The following is a 20,269-nucleotide window of genomic DNA, read 5'->3' as shown; positions in this document are numbered from 1 at the left end:
GACTACAGGCGCCCGCCAGCACGCCTGGCTAATTTTTTTGTATTTTTTAGTAGAGACAGTGTTTCACCGTGTTAGCCAGGATGGTTTCGCTCTCCTGACCTCATGATCCGCCCGCCTCGGCCTCCCAAAGTGTTGGGATTACAGGCGTGAGCCACCGCGCCCGGCGAGGTGGGGTCTATTTTCTTACCCAGTGACTGGGCTACACCAGCAAATGCTTTGATTGTAGCAGAATGACTTTATGGGACTTCTGAGTCCGGGCCGCAAAAGGCTTTGCAGTGTGTTTTCTCACCCTCTTAGAACCCCGAGTCTACCACGTGAAGAAGCCAGGGCCAGACTGTTGGAAGACGAGTGGCCACATGGAAAGAGAGGCCCAACTGACAGCCAGTATCAACCCCCACACCTATGAATGAGGCTGTCGTACACCATCAAGTCTCCAGTAAATCTGCCAGGTGCCTGCAGCCCTATAAGTGACCCCAGGAGAGACCTGAGGAAGGATGAGCAAATAAAATAGTTGCTTTAAGCTGCTAGGTTTTGGGAGGGCTTGTTACACAGCAATGGTTAATCAATAGAGCATCACCCAGGAGCTTGTTAGAAATACAATCTTAGGCCCCACCCTAGACCTATGGAGTCACAATCTATAGTTTAACAAGATTTCCAGGTGATTGTATGCATATTAAATTAAGCTTGGACAGTGTTATATAGTCATCTGAAGCCTTATACATTTAGAAAACTAAACAACCCATAGAAAAATGGATAAAGAGTATGGACAGCTTACAAAAGAAGAAATGCAAATTTAAAAAACGGAAACCTCACCAGTAATCAATGGAATGCACATAAAACAACGAGTCAGTATGTTTTACCTCACCAGTTGGCACAGATTTCTTTTTTCTAAAAATTCAAATCTGACAAATTCGTATAATCTTTCTGGAAAGAAATTTGGTTGTAATAATCCCATCCCTTTGGCCCAATAATTCTGCTTCTAGGAATCTGTCCTCAGGAAATGGCCAGAATTTCAGCCGAGCTTAATGTGAAAGGATGTTCATCATGGTATAATTTATAAAAGTAAAAAAAAAATAAAATGCAATTGTGCCAAATGTCCAATTATAAGAAATTGGTTTAGTAAATTTTGGCATATGTACAAACTGAAATATTTTGCAGCCATATGGTAATTTTTTTAAACTCTGCCAAGAGGCAGGAGAGTCTAGCGGACAAGCACTCAAGTTTTGGAGCCAGGCAGATGGGAGTTTGAGTCCTGGCTCACCACTTATGGCCAAAACCTTCATTCAGCAAGTTACATAGCACCTGGATATCATTTCCTCATCTGTAAAATGACAATAAAAACTCCTTAAAGATAAAATGAGATAATGTATGTAAAAGATTTCATCCGGACTGGACCAAAAAGTGCATTCAAGAGGGAGGCTCTTAATATGCTTGAATGAAAAATGCCAAGGGGAAAAGAGGGATTCAAAACTCTAGCCCAATGCCAATTTTATAAAAGAAAAAGTATGAATATATGCATTTTTTAAGAACTGGAAGGAAATACACCAGATTGTTAAAGATGCTTATGTCTGGATGTTTTTATTTCTTTCTCTAGTTTTCAAATATTCTACAATGAGTGTGAATCCCTTTTTTATAATCAGGGAAAGTTTTCACTTTTTAGAAACCAAGTTTAAAAACGAGGAACAGAGGTTAAGTCCCTTGCCCAAGGTCACACAGCTGGTAAGTTGCAGATTGAATTCAAACAATCTAACCACTATCCCAAGCTGCCTCCTAGACTACCTGGTACCTCCCATGACCCCATCCCTTGTGCCCACTCCCCACCTGGCCCTACATACCGAGATGTGTGTTGGTCACAAAGTTTCCCATTCCCGACAGGTCAGGAGCCCCCTCCTCTCTGCTAACAGGGCCATCATTCCACATGAGGTCAAAGCCCCCGACTCGCTTCTCCCTTCCCGTGAGCCTGGACAGGAAGGAGGCCCACAGGGTTAATGAAGGTGCACCTGGCAGAGCCCTAAGACCCAAGTGAGGTCCCTGATCTCTCCCTGAGCCCAACTGATGTCCGTCCCTCAGAAGTCCTTTTTCCCAACCATTCATTGGCTGTTTCCCAGGTGCCTATGTAGGTCTCTGAGGGGTTGTTCCCATTTTTCCCCCAAGGCTCCTCCTACTTGCTCTTGGTAACATGCCCCTATTTGTTTTTTTTGTTTGTTTGTTTTTGTTCTTGTTTTGAGACAGAGTCTCTCTCTGTCACCCAGGCTGGAGTGCAATGGCACAATCTTGGCTCACTGCAACTTCTGCCTCCTGGTTCAAGTGATTCTCCTCACTCAGCCTCTTGAGTAGCTGGGACTACAGGCGCACACCACCACACCCAGCTAATTTTTGTATTTTTAGTACATATGGGGTTTCACCATGTTGGCCAGGATGGTCTCAAACGCCTGACCTCAAGTGATCTGCCCGCCTCGGCCTCCCAAAGTGCTGGGATTACAGGCGTGAGCCACCACCCCCGGCCGCTATTTGTGATTTCTGGTTTAAAGTCTGCTTTCCTCCTCAGACCTTAAACTCCATAAAGGCAGGGACTAGTTCTGTTGTGTTCCTTACTGTGTCCGCAGGGTATGGCACAGGGCCTGGTACAGAGCAGGGCTCAAATGTTTGTTGAATGAATAGGTGATGGTAGGAATAGTGGATACCTGAGGTTTCTGCCTGCTCAGCATCCATTTCACCTTCTTTCAGTCCAAGAGTACCTTGGGTTTTCCTCTGAGAACCACTCCTCCCTCCCTCCCTCACCCCATGGCTCACATGGGGTTGACCCCACTCCCTAGGAGGTGGGCACAAGAACTATACCTGGTCAAGCAGAGTCACAGTGAGTGGTTTAGGAATGGGAATGTGTCCCAGTTACCAGCAAGGAGAATCAGCCCTCAAACTTCTGCTGGAATAATCGGGGAAAAGCTAATACAGAGGAAAGAGAAGGGAGGGAGGGAGAGGGAGAGGGAGGGAGGGAGAGGGAGAGGGAGAGGGAGGGAGGGAGAGGGAGAGGGAGGGAGAAAGGGAGAGAGAGAGAAACAGAGAGAGAGAAAGAGAGAGAGAGAATAGACCAGCCAACATTGAGCACCTGGATTCACCCATTCCTAAAAGTAGCTCTGGGTTTTTTTTTTTTTCTGCTATTGCACATTGTTAAAACAATAGCTTTGTATTGAGCACTTACTGTTAGCTAAGCACTAGATAGTAAATTATCTTTGTAAATTAACAACTCTGAGAGGCAGACATGGCATTTCCTATTTTACAGATGAGGAAGCTGAGGCTCAGAAAGGTGATGTGACTAGTCCAGAGCCCCACAGTCAGGAGGTTTCGAGGAAATCCTGCTGGACTGTCTCAGAAAGCTGTAGTTGGCCCTGCTCTGCCCTGGAGAGGTCAAGTCCTTGGGTCAGGACCCCACCCTCTGTGGACATCTCAGCTTCTCCATCTATAAAGTGGTGGGGCAGGCCAGAGCCATCGCTGAGGGCCACTCAGGCCCCAAGGTTCTAAGCTCCCCCTCTTCCTTGGTGGGAGCCTCAGTTGTCATGTACAAGGACATGTGATCAAGGCTGCCCTCCCTCACCTCGCTTCCATGTCCACAACATGCAGGGTGTCTTCCAGGAGGCAGGTCTTGAGCTCATAGTCTTCCTGGCTGCTGGCTGTCAGTGATGGGGACGCATTGACCTCCAGGAGCCACCTGGGAAGGGAGGGGAGTAGAGAGTCTTAGGGTTACTCGGTCCCTGGAGCCCCTAGGATTTCACTGAGAGGCTAGATGGATGCATGGACCCCACCGTCAATTCAATCCAGGCTACTCTCTCTACCTTTCTATTTTTTTTTAATTATTTTTATAGAGATAGGGTCTTGCTAGGTTGCCCAGGCTAGTCTCAAACTCCTGGCCTCAAGTCATCCTCCTGCCTTAGCCTCCCGAAGTGCTGGGATTACAGATGGGAGCCACTGTGCCCAGGCCCCTCCCACTTTTTTTTTTTTTTTTTTGGAGAGGGAGTTTTGCTCTTGTCGCCCAGGCTGGAGTGCAATGGCATGATCTCAGCTCACTGCAACCTCTGCCTCCCAGGTTCAAGTGATTCTCCTGCCTCAGCCTCCCGAATAGCTGGGATTACAGGTGCCTGCCACCACGCCCAGCCAATTTCTTTGTATTTTTAGTAGAGATGGGGTTTCACCATGTTGGTCGAGCTGGTCTCAAACTCCTGACCTCAGGTGATCCACCCGCCTCAGCCTCCCAAAGTGCTGGGATTACAGGCATGAGCCACCTTTCCACTTTGAAGAAAGGTAACTCAAATGTAGAAAGCTGGCATAGGAATGATTATGGTGCTTTCGTGGTGTTATTGTTTTCCCTTCTTCCAATAGAGATGTGAATGCAAGAAAAACTTCCCTTTCTTAGTGAAAATTTGCACACTGTAGGTGGCACCCAACCTGCTGTGTCAGGGGGTGGGAAGCGGTGGGGAGGGGTGGAGACTGTGGTGAGCTGGAGAGGGCATTCCAAGTCTAAAGGGGTGGCTGTGGCCAGCCCCAGGAGAGTGCCGCCCTGTGGGAATGTGAGTCCAGAATTGCGAGATCATCTGATTTTTCCAGAAAAGCCAAAAATAGACTTTTTTTTTTTTTAAAGAGTCAGAATCCAGTTCTGTCACTCAGGCTAGAGAGCAGTGGTGCAATCTTAGCTCCCTGCAGCCTTGAACCCCTGGCCTCAAGTCATCCTCCTGCCTCAGCCTCCTGAGTAGTTGGTATTATTATTATAGGTGTTTGAGTCACTGTACTTGGTAATTCTGATTTTTATGTAAACATCTTCCAAATTTTAGAGCCTGTCAATAAATTGAAATTAAAAACAAAAACAGTCTAAAGGCCAAATTCGAAGTATCTGCAGGCCAAAAGCAGCCCAAAGACCTCCCGCTAGCCACCTCTTGTCTTGTTCAACCCCATCCTTTTACAGACAGAAAGCTGGGGCCCAGAGAGGGAAGGGCTCACCCAGCAGGTCTGTGGGAGACCAAGCCCCTTTCCACTACACAGCAAATTATCTTGGTAAATTACTCTAACAACTTGGAGAGGTAGACATGGTGTTTCCCATTTTACAAATGAGGAAACAGGCTCAGAGAGGTGACGTAGCCATCTGTGGTCCTGTGCAGCCAGTCCTCTTGGACCTGCAGAATTTTTGCCCATACGGAGGGGCACAGCCGGAGTCATCCTAATCACAACACTCAGGGCTGGACCCCTCTTGTCCAGGCCTAAGGGCAGCACTGAGGGCAATTGTTTAGGGGTCTCAGCAGGCCAGGTGGCGATTAACTGAGGTCCCTCCCCTAACCTGACTACCCAGGCCCCAGGGCTGCAAGTGGATGCTCCAGTGCTTCCTGCAGTAGCTGGTGTCCAAGCATGGGCCAGAGCTTATTCCTCCACCACGTCCACCTTAATGCCAGCAGTCACATCCTGCTGCAGGGGACAAAGGAGAGAGACCTGCTGGTGCCAGGACCCTGTTTCCGTTGAGCAAGGGCCTGACTTAGGTCTTGCTCTAGGGCTCCTCCTCCTGGCTTAGAAAGCCCCTCAACACTTACATGGTGACCCTGAATAGGGGGTTGGCTCCTGGAGCTGGCAGTGCTGGTGGGGAGCAGCTCAGCCCAGGTCCTTGGACCCTGGGCCTGGCTTTGCCCTTGACTTGCTACATGACCTCAAGCTCCCTGACCCTCACTGGGCTTCTGTGTCCTGTTGCATCATGTGAGGCCATCGTGGTGGTCCCTGCCAGGTCAGGCTTGTTCTATTCGTCAGCTCAACCTCCTCCACGGGCATCTTGGGAGTGGATCAAAGTCTTGGCAGAGATCGACATTGTAACAATATTCCATTATATGGCTCTTTGCATCTTCAAAGCTCCAAGACTTACAGAGGGGAAGTTTCTTGCTTGGTATAGGGGAGAATTCCTGACTCAGCAGATGATCAGGAAGGGCCTCCCAGTGCCAGGCTCGGTCCTCAGTGCTCCAAAGACTATATCTCACTTATTCCTCATAACGATCCTCTAATGACCTATGGATAGATCCTGTCATGACCAACCCCATTTACAAATGGGCAAATTGAGGCACAGTAAATGTAAGTGTGCACAAGGTTATACAACTAGGAATTGGCAGAGCTGGGATTCAAACCTGGGCAGTCTGGGTGCCGAGTATGCAAACTATGACCTCCTGGCTCTCCCACCCACCCACTTACGGCTTGAGGTCCTGGTCGATGAGGATGTCATAGCCGTACAGCTCGAAGCAGTGCTTGTCACTGATGATCACCTTCTGCACACTCTGCAGGCTTTTGACAAAGATGTTGTCGATGTCCCTGAAGAGTGTCTCCACTGCCTCGGGCCCGTGTTTGGACGCCAGGTACTGCCGGAAGCGCTGCAGCGTCCACTTGCAGCCCTGGGCCCCGGGCAGCCGGGTCGAGAGAGGAGCCTCAGTTAGTCAGGACCTGGCCTGCTAGGACCCTTACACAATTGCTCTCAGTGTTTCCCTTAGACCTGGGCAAGAGGGGCCCAGCCCTGAGCCCTGTAATTAGGATGACCCCAGGTGTGCCCCTCTTTGAGGGGCAAAAATTCTTCATGTCTAAGAGGACTGGCTATGCAGGACCCCAGAAGTCCCTGCCCACATGGCCTGCGTAGGCCCCTTTTCTGAGCCTGACTTGCTAAGGACAGACCACACTGACCATGTGTGCATCCCAAGGCCAAGGAGTGACCGACAGGCTGCCATTTTCAGGGCTGTGTATGCACAAGGGCCCCACTGTGGGATGGAGCTGGGGAGGGAAGAGAAGGGAACAGGTGTGAGCTGGGGACCTGCTCTCCTGTGTCCCCTTGATCTGGCCCTTGACTCTGAGAAGTCTGAGAATTCTGTATTTGAACCTGGCCTTGCAGGTTATTTTACATAGACAGAGAGATAAAATATATCTGTATGATACATTACATTAATCGATTAATCCGTTGACCAATAGAAGATATCTGTCAAGGTAGGAGGATAGGACATATTTTGTTTAGGTGTGTGTTAGTGTGATTTGCAACTTTTAAATACTGAGACACATGATATGTGGGCCTCCATTTGTAGTCCTGCCCTGAGCCCTGCAAGTGGGATGGGTAGGCCTGCCTCACTGGTGAACACAGGCTCAGACAGGCCTGTCCTGGGCTCCTTGCCACTCCACCCTCCCCACCCCGACCTGGCGCCAGAGGGCTGTACCCGTGCATAGCCGAGCCCGGCTTCCTCACCTTCTTTGGGTGGTAGTCGGGAGATGTTTTTTGCACAGCCACGTTGGTGAGGTGAACATCTGGGAGAGGGTGGTGGTCAAGGGTCAGCGTGAACAAAAAGGGTGAGCTCTGCCCCACGAAGTCCCCAGGACTGAACTGAGAATTGATGGGGAAGGCTACGAAATAGCTCCACGGTCGTGTGTGTGAGCTTTGGAGTCAGATGGGCCTGGATTCAAATCCTGCCTGCATCTTTCCTGGCTGTGGGCTCCTGAAAAGCCATTTCACTTCCCTGGGCCTATTTCCCCACCTTTTAATGGGGGTACATAGCAGTATATTGACCTCACAGGATTTTTCAAAAGGTTAAATACTGTGCCTCTTCCAGTGCCTGGCATAGCTATTATACTACGGTTTTTCTTTTCTTTTCTTTTAACCTTTGTGGTATATTATGATTTTTTTTTTTTAATTCAAGAGGAGTGGTTCTAACAAGTAAAGGAACCAAATACAGAACAACCATCTCAGGACACAGTAGGCTGTCTGTCATTAGAGGGGTCCAGGCTGGGCGGCCACTTTGTAGGAATATTGGCAAAGGGATCCAGCACTGGGATAGGGTCAGGGTGGCCTTGGAAGGCCCAGCCCTGAGATTTGGCCTCTCAGTACCATCACCATCGTCACCACCAGTGACATCAGCAGCACTTTGCAGCTCACAGAGCATGTTTACACACATTATCTCATTTGTTCCCCAAATTATTCCCATCTCACAGATGAGACCATGGAGGCTCAGAGAAGTTAAGTGACCACCATTCAGAATACTCCTTCCTCAACATCTTCACCCCACAACTAAGCAGGATGGCTTCCCCAAACCTTGTTGTATTTGTTTGTTTGTTTGTTTTGAGACGTAGTCTTTTGCCCAGACTGGAGTGCAGTGGCGCAATCTTAGCTCACTGCAACCTCCGCCTCCCGAGCTCAAGCGATTCTCTTCCCTCAGCCTCCTAAGTAGCGGGGATTACAGGTGCCCACCACCAAGCCAGCTGATTTTTGTATTTTTAGTAGAGATGGGGTTTCACCATGTTGGCCAGGCCAATCTCAAACTCCTGACCTCAAGTAATCCACCCGCCTCGGCCTCCAGAGTGCTGGGATCACAGGTGTGAGCCACCACACCCAGTACCAAACCTCATGAAATGACCATAAGACCTGACTTTCTCCAGGACTTACTTGGGGCATTTCTCAGATGGGGAGGTAGAGGTTCTAGGTCTCTGACTCCAAGTCTAATTCCCCTAAATGTATGGTTCTGCCAGTCTGTGGTGTATTGAACAGAGTAGGGTGGTTTCAGCCTCTCTGGAAAAGGTATCCTCTTTACTCTTTAGCATCTTTTTCCTAGACGTCTTCTTTAGACCTTTTTTTTTTTTTTGAGACAGGGTCTTGCTCTGTCACCCAGGCTGGAGTGCAGTGGTGCCATCTCATCTCACTGCAACCTCCGCCTCCTGGGTTCAAACGATTCTCCTGCCTAAGCCTCCCAAGTAGGTGGGACTACAGGCAAGCACCATCATGCCCGGCTAGTTTTTGTATTTTTAGTAGAAACAGGGTCTCACCATGTTGGCCAGGCTGGTCTGGAACTCCTGACCTCAGGCGATCCACCTGCCTCAGCCTCCCAAAGTACTGGGATTACAGGCATAAGCCACCATGCCTGGCCCAAATTTATTTTTTGCAGAGACAGGGTTTCAACATGTTGCCCAGGCTGGTCTCAAACTTCTGACCTCAAGCAATCCACCTGCCTTGGCCTGCCAAAGTGCTGGGATTACAGGCATAAGCCACTGCACCCAGCCCAAAAATTAATTTTGAATGGACCACAGACCTAAATATAAGAGGCAAAACTATGAAATTCATAGAGAAAAATAGAGGAATAAGTCACTGTGACCTTGAGTAGGCAGATCTTCTTAGATATGACACCAAAAGCACAGATGGCAAAAGAAAAAGTAGATAAATTCAACTTTATCAGAATTAAAAACTTCTGTGCTTCAACGGAAATTATCAAAAAGTGAAAGAAAACCCACAGAATGAGAAAAAATATTTGTAAATAATGTATCTAATAAGGGACTAGTATCCAGAATACATACAGGATTCTTATAACTCAACAATAAAAAGTTAATCCAATTTAAGAATGGGCAAAGGATTTGAAGAGATTTATAAGTGGCCACAAGCACATAAAAGGTGCTCAGTATAATTAGTCATCAGGGAAATGCCAATCAAAACCACTGCACATCCACTAGGATGGCTATAATGAAAAAGACAGATAATAGCAAGTATTGGCCAGGCATGGTGGCCGCGCCTGTAATCCTAGCACTTTGGGAGGTCAAGGCAGGCAGGTCACTTGAGTCCAGGAGTTCAAGACCTGCCTGGGCAACAGGGTGAAACCCTGTATGTACACGAAATACAAAAATTAGCCAGGCGTGGAAGCGAGCATCTATAGTCCCAGCTACTTGAGGGGCTGAGGTGGGAGGATCATTTGAGCCCGGGAAGTCGAGGCTGTAATCCCAGCACTTTGGAAGGGCAAGGCAGGAGGATCGCTTGAGCCCAGGAGTTTGAGACCAGCCTGGGCAACATAGTGAGACCAGTCTCTATAAAAAATTTAAAAATTAGCTGGGCATGGTGGTGCGTGCCTGTGGTCCCAGCTACAAGGGAGGCTGAGGTAGGAGGATCGCTTCAGCCCAGGAGATGGAGGCTGTAGTGAACCGTGATTGTGCCACTGCACTCCAGCCTGGGCAACAGAGCAAGACTCTGTCTTGAAAAAAAAAAAAAAAAAAGGAAAAGAGGATGCTGGGGCAAAGTAAGTTACTGGCTGAAGAGGGGAAATAGCTCTCTTCAGATGAAGGAAGTACGACTCCCAGAACTTCACACTTCACACACTGCTCCCGCCTGCTGTGGAGGAGACAGCGGGCCTCCTTAGGAGCAGAGGAGAAGCAGAGGCTGAAAGAAAGGGGTGAGAGATGGGTCAGCCAACCTCAGAGCCTCCCGTCTCTAGAGAGGAACCTAAAACCAGGTCTCAGTGGACCAATGGTCAAGTAGCAGAGTAAACATACAATCAAAATAAATCCACAGAGAAACAGAACTGATTCACTGCAAAATATTTAGGAGAAAAAGACTTTTCTTAGTTTAGAAATGATGGTAAAAATCACAGAGGAAACCAATGGACAAGTAAACCAATGGACAAGCATGTGAAAATAAAAATGAACAGATGTCAATGCAAAAATTAAAGAATCAGTGACCACAGAAAAGATGTGTAGCAAATGCAATAGTCTGTTTCTGTCACATGAAAATCCCACATGAATTAACAATAAAATGTATGACTGTTTATTTACTAAGTAAAGGATATGGACAGACATAAAAGAGAAAATAAAGCTGGTAGGACCCCATCTGGGAAAAAGCTCAAAGTTCCTAGTAATAGAAGATATATAATTTCAAAGGCACGCAAATGGGGGAAAATGAAAATTGGAAGAAATGCTAATTCTAAGGCAAAATTCTGCTCCCTCATCAAGTCAGTTGCATTTAAAAAATCTTTTCATTTTGAAAACTTCAAAACTCACAGAATATTTGCAAGAATCATATAATGAATGCCCCTATCTGCTTCACCTAGACATGCCCAGTCGTTTCAGAAATGGCTGTTTAAAACAATTGTCCCCAGGACTGGGGAGTTGGGATGAAATGGACCAGTCAATAGGAGGGTAAAAATATTTTATTTTTATTTATTTATTTTTAAGATAGAGTCTTGCTCTGTTGCTCAGGCTGGAGTGCAGTGGCACAATCTTGGCTCACTGCAACCTCCACCTCCCGGGTTCAAGTGATTCTCCTACCTCAGCCTCCCGAGTAGCTGGGATTACAGGCGCCTGCCACCATGCCTGGCTAATTTTTGTATTTTTAGTAGAGATCAGGTTTCACCATATTGGTCAGGCTGGTCTCAAGCTCCTGACCTCAAGTGATCTGACCGCCTCAGCTCCCAAAGTGCTAGGATTACAGGCGTGAGCCACCACACCCAGTGAGGGTAAAAAGATAAAAGGACTCTTCTGGGAAGCAATCTGGCCAGATGGGCTTGACTCAGTATTTACATCTTTGTGACACCATCCAAAGGAAAAATCTTAATACTGTAAAAGGTTTATGAAGAAATATGTTCCTTTGCAGCATTATGTGTCACTATAGCAAGAAATTGAATACTTCCCAAATGCCTGCAGCATGGGGGATTAGAAAACCAGGAAACCTACTCAGTGGAATATTTTCATTAATGAAAAAAAAAAAGTCTACAAGGAAAATACTGCTGATAATGTTTAGTGCAAGAAAATGTTGTATTTATACAATGGGATCATTTATATATAAAAGGTGAATGACAACAAAATTCCCTACAAATGAGCCTGGAAGGAAATACACCAAAATAGTAAGAAGTTTCTGCTAGAAAATATGCCTAGAGAAGGTTTCTCTTTCTTTTTGCACTGTTCTGAATATTCTGATTTGATTTTCATGAGCTATACCACTTTTATTATAAAACTATATCCTTTCAATGTTTTATTATTTTATTATTAGAGTAAGGCCTATCCATTGTAGAAACAATTCATAATAGACATGTATAAAGTTTAAAATAAATGTTTCCTGACCTGGTTCTAATTCTCTGCAGTTTTCAGAGTTAATAGATTAGTGAGGCTGGGCACGGTGGCTCACGCCTGTAATCCCAGCACCTTGGAAGATCAAGGTGGGAGGATTCAAACTGTTGAATCAAGGTCACACTCTTGAGCCTAGGAGTTTGAGACCAGCCTGGGCAACATAGCGAGAACTCATTGCTACAAAAAACAAGTTAGCCAGGCACAGTGGCATGTGCCTGTGGTCTCAGCTGCACAGGAGGCTGAGGTGGGAGGATCACTTGAGCCCAGGAGTTCAAGGCTGCAAAGAGCTGTGATCCCACCACTGTACTCGATCGGGGGCAACAGAGAAGGAAACTGTCAATCAATCAATCACTAAGATAGACTGGTGAATCACGAACATCCTTTCATACTTTTTCTTAAACATAAACATTCTTCCTTAAAGGCAAAAATGGGAACATGAATATACCAGGTTCTCCATCTTACATTTTGTTTTTCACTTAATCATCTGTTTTAGATATCTTTCTATGTCATGATATTTTGACCTATCTCATTGCTTTCAACAGATGCACAAGATCACATAGATGCTTTATCATTCATTTCACCATCCCTCAAGGGAGATTTAAGGGATCAAGGGTGATGACTGTATACTATTATATACAGTGTTTCAATGAATATTTTTGTATTTAGTGTATGTATAGATATACTATATGCAAATATATATTTGAATAATTATGTATAAACTATATATATTATATATAATGAAGTCAGGTTAAAAATGTTTATTATTTTGTGATCCAAAATTATTTTAAAAGTTAGTATGTAATATCTGATGCGAATGTGGTAAAATATTAATCTGTTAAATCTGGATGGTAAATGCATGGGTTGTTATAGTCCTTCCTGCAGTTTTCTATTTATAGAAAATTATTTTCTATTAATATTTCAAGATTAAACATTTAAAACAATATAAAAGAAGGGGTGGAAAATGTGTATTTACTCACTGTGAAAACAGCAAAGCCTCATTAACTAGAAACTAGCCCCGGGAGAGGGCTTGATTTGTTTAAAAAGTCCCCATGATGCCCAGAGCTGTGCAAACATTTTTAAGTGGGAGAGGAGGACCACTAACATTTACTGAGAGGTCACTCTGGGCCAGCCACTGTTCTAACTGCTTTACATGTATTATTTAACTTTAGTTAAAAAAAAAAAAAAGTAGGTGGCAATTAAACTAAACTCGATGACTTGCATATGATAAATGCTTGTTAGAATTACAAAATAAAATGAACGTACTGGAAGTGCTGACGTTGGCAAAATAGAAAAAAACAAATTGCAAAAAATACTCAGAAAGGTCTAATCGCAGTTTCACATGCAGGCAATGCACATGCATCACCTTGGACACGCACTCAACTGAATGGGGAAATTAATGCAGAGAGATGCAAATGGGCTAAAAGCATTGGCTGGGTTGTCCACACCCGAAGCTGGGGAGCGTCACCCCCATTTCCATCTTTCCCATGTGCAAGTCATCTGGTCCCGCCCATTTGCCTCCAAAATATTGCTGGATTGTCTACCTCTTTTCTTCTGAGGCTCAGGCCTAAAGATCTTTAAAACTTCTTTTGATGTGTCTATTTTGACCAGATAATACATTCACATGGCTCAAAAGTTAAAATGCACAAAATGTGTGTAAGGAAACATCTCCTTTCTACCTCTGTATCCACTAACATTTCTCTTCCCAAAGGCAACATCTATTTCCAGTTTCTTTTTTTTTTTTTTTTTTTTTTTTGAGACAGAGTCTTATTTTGTCACCCAGGCTGGAGTGCAATGGCGTGATCTCGGTTCACTGCAAACTCCGCCTCCCAGGTTCAAGGGATTCTCATGCCTCAGCCTCCCTAGTAGCTAGGATTACAGGCAGATGCCACAATGCCCAACTAATTTTGTACTTTTAGTGGAAATGGGATTTCACCATGTTGGTCAGGCTGGTCTCCAACTCTTGGCCTCAGGTGATCCACCTGCCTTGGCCTCCCAAAGTGCTGGGATTACAGGTGTGAGCCGCTGCACCCAGCTTCTTGTCTGTTCTTCCAGAGTTGTCTATGTACAGATAAGCAAACATATATATATAGACAGAGAGAGAGAGATTTTTTTTTTTTTTGACATACAGTCTTGCTCTGTCACCTGGACTGGCATACAGGGGCAAAATCACAGCTCACTGCAGCCTGGAACTCCTGGGCTCAAGTGATCCTCCCACCTCACTTGAGTGGGTAGCTGGGAGTACAGGCATGTGACACCACATCTGGCTAATTTATTTTTATTTTTATTTTTTTCATAGAGACAGGATCTCACTATGTTGCCCAGGCTGGTCTTGAACTCCTGGCCTCAAGTGATCCTTCTGCCTCAGCCTCCAAAGTGCTGGAATTACAGGTGTGAGCCACCACATCTGACCAGATATAATTTTTAACATGAACGAGAACATACTTTCAAACACTGTTCTAGACATGCTTTGTTTTTTCCCAATTAACAATATATCTTGGAAATTGTTTCATATCAGTACATAAAGCACTTTCCCCATTCCTTTTTAACAGCTTCATAGTATTCCACTGTATAAAGGAGCCATTCATTTCAATGTTCCCTATTTTTTTCTCTCACAAACAAGGCTGTGCAGTGAATGACCTTGAAGCCTGTCTTGTCTTATACCGCAGATGTACTTGTAAGATGATAAAATCCCAGAAGAGGAATTGCTGGGTCACAGGGCATGTGTGCATTTGTCTTTTAACAGATCTTTGCTAGATTGTCTTCAAAGGAGTCATACCAATCAATTTACAATCCCGCCAGCAACGTATGTATTCTCCCAGCCTCGCCAGGACACTGTGTTATCAAATTTTTGGTCTCTGCCAATCGGATGGGTGAAAATAGCATTGTACTTGAATGAATGAGTGAGCCAATGACTAGGCACTGAAGAAAGAGGCACATAAAAGGATGCAAATGTTCTCCAAAGGGGCTAAAACTGTCCGACCCTAGGAATATAAGTAAATGTGAATGTTAGGCATAGCACCAAAACTATCATCAGGCAGAGCAGCTTGCAGTGAGCTGCTCTGAGCAGAGTTGGCCTCTCCCATGGAATCACCCCCACAAAACTGGAAGCTCCCGGAGGGAAGGGACCAGACCTATCTCATACCCTGTCTCCTGTGCCCAGACCACAGCAGGCATTCAGCAAACACCTGTGGGACAAAGGAGTTCACTTGGGACTGGCCAGAGTGTGGGAAGGGGTAGGTGTGTCGGGGGTGGTTAGCCAGGATCCCAGGATACACTGGTCATCAATGCTGTTCAGTGTGAAGCGGGTGTTGGAGAATCGGGCAAAGCCATCCCGGTAGAGCCAGGCCCGCAGCGGGATGTACTAAGGCAGAGGTGGGAAGAGAGAGAGAGAAGGGAAAGGGAATATATACAGGCACTCTCACACCGCCTAGCTCTTGCACCTACCGTTTCCTCCACCCGGAGTGCCCTTATGTCTTTCCCAAATCATCCTTCAGGCACCTGCTTTTACACCAGGCTTCTTTGATTCTATCCCCTCCTTTCCCCAGGTGGAGGGGGATACAGAAGGAAATAAAATGAAGGTGAAGTCCAGGAGAACAGGGGTGGAGTCTGTCTTGGACACCCCTGTATCCTGTGCCCAGCAAAAAGATTTGAACATTGGCTGGATGAAGGAATGCATGAATGGGTGGAGGGAATATAGCCACTCCCTGGTTAAAAGAGTAGGCTCTGAGGCCAGGCTGCCTGGATTTGAATGCCAGCTCTGCTGCTCACCAACTGTGTGACCTTGGGCAAGGTACACAACCTCTGTATCTGTTCCCTCATTGTAAAGGGAGAATAATAATAGAACCTGCCTCCCTGGGTTATTAGGAGGCCTGAATGAGATAAAACCTGCTAAGTGCCAGGGCCTGGTACTTAGTAGGTGCTCAATAAATGTCTGCTGTGGATGACCGAATGAATAAAGAAGGGCAGAGAGAGGGCAAATCTAGACTTTGGGGCATCTAAGATGGTAAACCTCAGATAAGTCTCCCTGCCCCCACCCTATCCCTAGATGTCCCTCGGGGATCTCCCAGGGAGAGATAAAACCAGACAAGCTCACACAAGGTACCCCCAGGCCTCTTCCCCCCATCTCCCTAGCCCAGCCACCCTTTAACCCCTGCTGGAGGAGGGCCCCCACCTTTGTTACTCACCGACATCACCAGCACATAGACACGCAGGTCAAACTTGCGGCCTGTCAGGCAAGGAAAAAATTAATTTGTGCAACAAATATTGATCGTCAGACATTGTGCTAGGTTTTGGGAAAATAGCAGTGGACAGACAGGAAACCCCGCCTTCATGAAGCTCCTGCTGAAACTACACAAGGGGCTAGGCGCGGTGCCTCATGCCTGTGATCCCAACACTTTGGGAGGCTGAGGCAGGAGGATCGCTTGAGGCCAGGAATCCAAGACCAGCCTGAGCAACATAGTGAGACTCTGTGTCTACAAAAAAATTAGCCTCGCATGGTGGTGCACATCTGTAGTCTCAGCTACTCTGGAGATTGAGGCAGGAGGATCGCTTGAGCCCAGGAGATGGAGGCTGCATGAGCTATGATCGTGACCCTGCACTCCAGCCTGAGTGACAGAGCAAGACATGGTCTCAAAAAAACACAACAAAAAAAACGCACAAGGTATAAAGAGAGAATAATGGGAGGTGGGGGAGGGGTGCGTGGGGGTCAACTTGGGGGAAAGTCTTGAAACTCAGTGGTCAAAGACCCCCATGGGGAGTGGTGACCTTCATGGAGACAAGGTGCCTGCCCAGCCCAGAGTGGTGCAGGATCTTGGGCAGAAGGAACTGCGAGAACAGTCTGGAGGGGGAAAGAGCTTGGGCCAAGGGCAGAGTGGAAGGAGATGAGGTCAGTTAGGCTGGCAGAGGTCAGGTCCCATGCAGTTTTGGGGTTTTGTCTCACAATCCATGGGAAGCCATGGAAGGGTGTCTCCTCTCTGGCTGCCACGTTGGGGTGGAGTGAAGTGGGCAGAGCAGCGGCAGGCACCAGTGAGGGGGCGGGCGTGGTTGTCTAGGAGGAAGAGGATGGTGGCCAGGCCCGGGGTGGAGGTGAGAGGAATGGCCAGATTCCAGAGCTTGTGGGAGCTTGGTGAGAACCAGATGTGGAAGGGGAAGGGGGACACACCCAGAATGGCTCCTGGCTTCTAGCTGTGTCCCCTAGAGAAGCTGAGGCATGGTGGGGGGATGGGAGGGCAGAATTTGGGATGTGTTGGGTTTGAGTGGTTGGCAGATGCCCAAGACGGATGTCACAGGCTGCTGGACATAAGGATCTGGGGTTCAGGGGCAAGGTCTCGGCTGGGGACAGAAAGCTGGGAGTCACTGGCCTTTGGGTGGTGTTTAAGCCACAGACAGGATGGGGTCACTGTGGGGGAGAGAGGAGAAGAGGCCCAGGGGCTGCCCCCTGGGGAAGGTAATTGCCAGAGGACGTGGGAGGAGACAACTGGCATTAACGCTATTGCAATGATGTCAGGCATGCCTGATGTGCCTGCAGTTCCCAGAGCCCGAGTGAGAAAAGCAGATGTTGGCCCGCCTGGGGAAACCCACCAAGCTTGCGGGGAGGAGGCTGGGTTCCACCTCAGGGCCTTTTGCCCTTGTGATTCCTCCTCCCTGCATTTCTCTCCCTCCAAATCTACCCACAGTGACTCCCAGTTGTCACTCAGGTCTCAGCTCACATGTCCACCTCCTGGCCCCCATGTCACTCTCTGTCCCATTGCCCTGCTTGACTGACTTCATAGCACCCAGCACTGCATGGGACCGTCCTGTGGTTTGTATTCTGGTTTATTGCAGCCTGCTCATCACAGGTGTAAGCTCCAGGAGAGCAGGGTGAGGGGCAGCCAGTATTCAGGGCAGTGCTGCCACCAAGTAGGTGCTTTATAATATTTGTTGGATAAACGCATGAATAAGTTGGTTTTTAAAGGAGGAGAATTTTTCTGAACCAAGAAGGGAGTGGAATGGACATGCCGGGCAGAGGGAACTGTACAGGCAATGGCTAGGAGGTGGGAGACTGCAGAACCCATCTCTTTCCATGCATCCCTTCATGCCTGGTGTCAGGCTGGGCCCTTGGCAGGCTGCTGGTCAAAGCTTGTTGACTGACTGTTTGATGACCATGCAATGGAAGAGCAGGAGCAGACACAGCCATCTCACCTCCTATCAGGTAAGGATTTTCAATGTAACGCTGAGCCACATAGTTCTCCACGGGAATATCATCTTTCTGGTCGTCAGAGCTTCTTGTGTCCTAGTTGTAATAATAATAATAATTGAACATTTATTTATGGAACATTTCCTGTGTACTAGGTATTCTGTTAGACACTACTTTGGGTAGCTCACTGAATCTTTAAATCAACCCTGTCAGGTAAGTACTAATGTTATTTCCATTTCACAGATTAGAAACTGAAGCACAGAGAGGGAGAGTAACTTGTCCAAGGTCACACAGCCAGTTAGTGGTGTTGCTGGGATGTGAACCTACATGGTCTAGGCCCAGAGCCTGAGTGTTTAAACTCTAGACTGGTGCTGCCCAGTAGGGCAGTCACTGGCCGCAAGACGCCATTTACATTTACCTTGATGAAAAGTAAATGAAATTACATGCTACAACATGGATGAAATTCGAAGACATAAGGCTAAGTGAAATAAGCCAGATACAAAAGGACAAATATTGTCTGATTCCACTTAGATGAGTCCCTGGAGTAGTCAAGTTCATAGAGATAGAAGGTAGATGGGGGTTGCCAGGGGCTGGGGAGAGGAGGGAACGGGGAGCTTGTGTTTAACAGTTACAGAGTTTCAGTTTGGGAAGATGAAACGTTCTGGAGACGGATGGTGGTGGTGGTGGTTGCACAACAATGTGAATGCACTTAGTGTGATAAAGCCACACACTTAAAAGAAGTTACAATGGTAAATTTCATGTTACAGATTTTACCACAATTTTTTTTTTTTTTTGAGAATGAGTCTTGCTCTGTTGTCCAGGCTGGAGTGCAGTGGCATCATCTTGGCTCACTGCAACCTCCACCTCTCGGGTTCAAGCAACTCTTGTGCCTCAGCCTCCTAAGTAGCTGGGATTACAGGTGACAGCCACCATGGTTAATTTTTGTATTTTTAGTAGAGATGGGGTTTCACCATGTTGGCCAGGCTGGTCTCGAACTCCTGACCTCAAATGATCTGCCCACCTCAGCCTCCCAAAGTGCTGGGATTACAGGTGTGAGCCACCACGCCCGACCCACAATTTTTTTTTATTATACTTTAAGTTCTAGGGTACATGTGCACAACGTGCAGTTTTGTTACATATGTATACATGTGCCATGTTGGTGTGCTGCACCCATTAACTCGTCATTTACATTAGGTGTATCTCCTAATGCTATCCCTCCCCCCTCCTTCCACCCCAAAATAAGCCCCGGTGTGTGATGTTCCCCTTCCTGTGTCCAAGTGTTCTCATTGTTCAATTCCCACCTATGAGTGAGAACATGCGGTATTTGGTTTTCTGTCCTTGCAATAGTTTGCTGAGAATGACGGTTTCCAGCTTCATCCATGTCCCTACAAAAGACATGAACTCATCCTTTTTTATGGCAGCATAGTATTTCATGGTGTATATGTGCCACATTTTCTTAATCCAGTCTATTATTGTTGGACATTTGTCTTGGTTCCAAGTCTTTGCTATTGTGAATAGTGCCACAATAAACATACGTGTGCATGTGTCTTTATAGCAGTATGATTTATAATCCTTTGGGTATATACCCAGTAATGGGATGGCTGGGTCAAATGGTATTTCTAGTTCTAGATCCCTGAGGAATCACCACACTGTCTTCCACACTGGTTGAACTAGTTTACAGTCCCACCAACAGTGTAAAAGTGTTCCTATTTCTCCACATCCTCTCCAGCACCTGTTGTTTCCTGACTTTTTAATGATCGCCATTCTAACTGGTGTGAGATGGTATCTCATTGTGGTTTTGATTTGCATTTCTCTGATGGCCACTGATGATGAGCATTTTTTCATGTGTCTGTTGCCGGCCCACAATTTTTAAGAAGGATATGAAATTATAAATCCAGTCCTCAGTCACACCAGCCATGTGGCAAGTGCTCAACATCCTGCATGTGGCTAGTGGTCACCGCATTGGAGAGCACAGATATCCATTTTCATCCCTCTAGAAAGTTCTGTTGGACAGTGCTGCCTACACCACCCATGGGCCCCCGAGGACATTGCTCCTTCTTCTCTACCTGCCAGCCCAGCTCTGGAAGACAGCAATGCTCTCATGCATCTGCACAGCACCTCGCAGGTTGCAAACACCTCTCCCACCTATTGTCCCCTTCACTCAAAGACAAGGGTCACACACTTGATGGGGTGACACAACAGCCCCAATAATGGCAGGCAGCACTA

At 46.7% G+C, this 20,269-nt stretch overlaps 1 protein-coding gene across 10 annotated transcripts in view, besides 1 other annotated feature; it reads right to left on the bottom strand.

Annotated features, from left to right (window-relative positions):
* The window catches only part of TTLL9 (tubulin tyrosine ligase like 9), a 74,367-nt gene that overhangs the window by 3,899 nt on the left and 50,199 nt on the right, over positions 1-20,269 (bottom strand). For 2 of the 10 annotated variants that reach the window (NR_148012.3, NR_148011.3), the window contains 8 exons: positions 18,049-18,139; positions 16,053-16,093; positions 15,142-15,229; positions 7,244-7,302; positions 6,214-6,410; positions 3,593-3,706; positions 2,839-2,920; positions 1,836-1,960 (listed from right to left, as the gene is read on the bottom strand). Coding sequence is in view for 2 of the 10 variants with exons in the window: in NM_001367620.2 (NP_001354549.1) it covers positions 1,836-1,960; positions 3,593-3,706; positions 6,214-6,410; positions 7,244-7,302; positions 15,142-15,229; positions 16,053-16,093; positions 18,049-18,139 (715 nt within the window). In the remaining 8 variants the exon portion in view is untranslated. Of the gene's footprint in view, positions 1-1,835; positions 1,961-2,838; positions 2,944-3,592; positions 3,707-6,213; positions 6,411-7,243; positions 7,303-15,010; positions 15,054-15,141; positions 15,230-16,052; positions 16,094-18,048; positions 18,140-20,269 lie in introns of all 10 variants that reach the window. The other 8 variants (NR_148013.3, NM_001008409.5, NR_160276.2 and 5 more) reach the window with 6 other exon arrangements.
* Positions 17,331-17,450: an enhancer, noted in NCBI's record as "active region_17704". NCBI's record gives its function as "activates an Ori minimal core promoter by ATAC-STARR-seq in GM12878 lymphoblastoid cells {active_cell/tissue: GM12878}" and the evidence as "EXISTENCE:reporter gene assay evidence [ECO:0000049][PMID:35858748]".

The sequence above is a fragment of the Homo sapiens genome, chromosome 20, assembly GCF_000001405.40.
Source record: "Homo sapiens chromosome 20, GRCh38.p14 Primary Assembly".
Taxonomy (NCBI): domain Eukaryota; kingdom Metazoa; phylum Chordata; class Mammalia; order Primates; family Hominidae; genus Homo; species Homo sapiens.
This window is presented reverse-complemented; position numbering and strand designations above follow the sequence as displayed.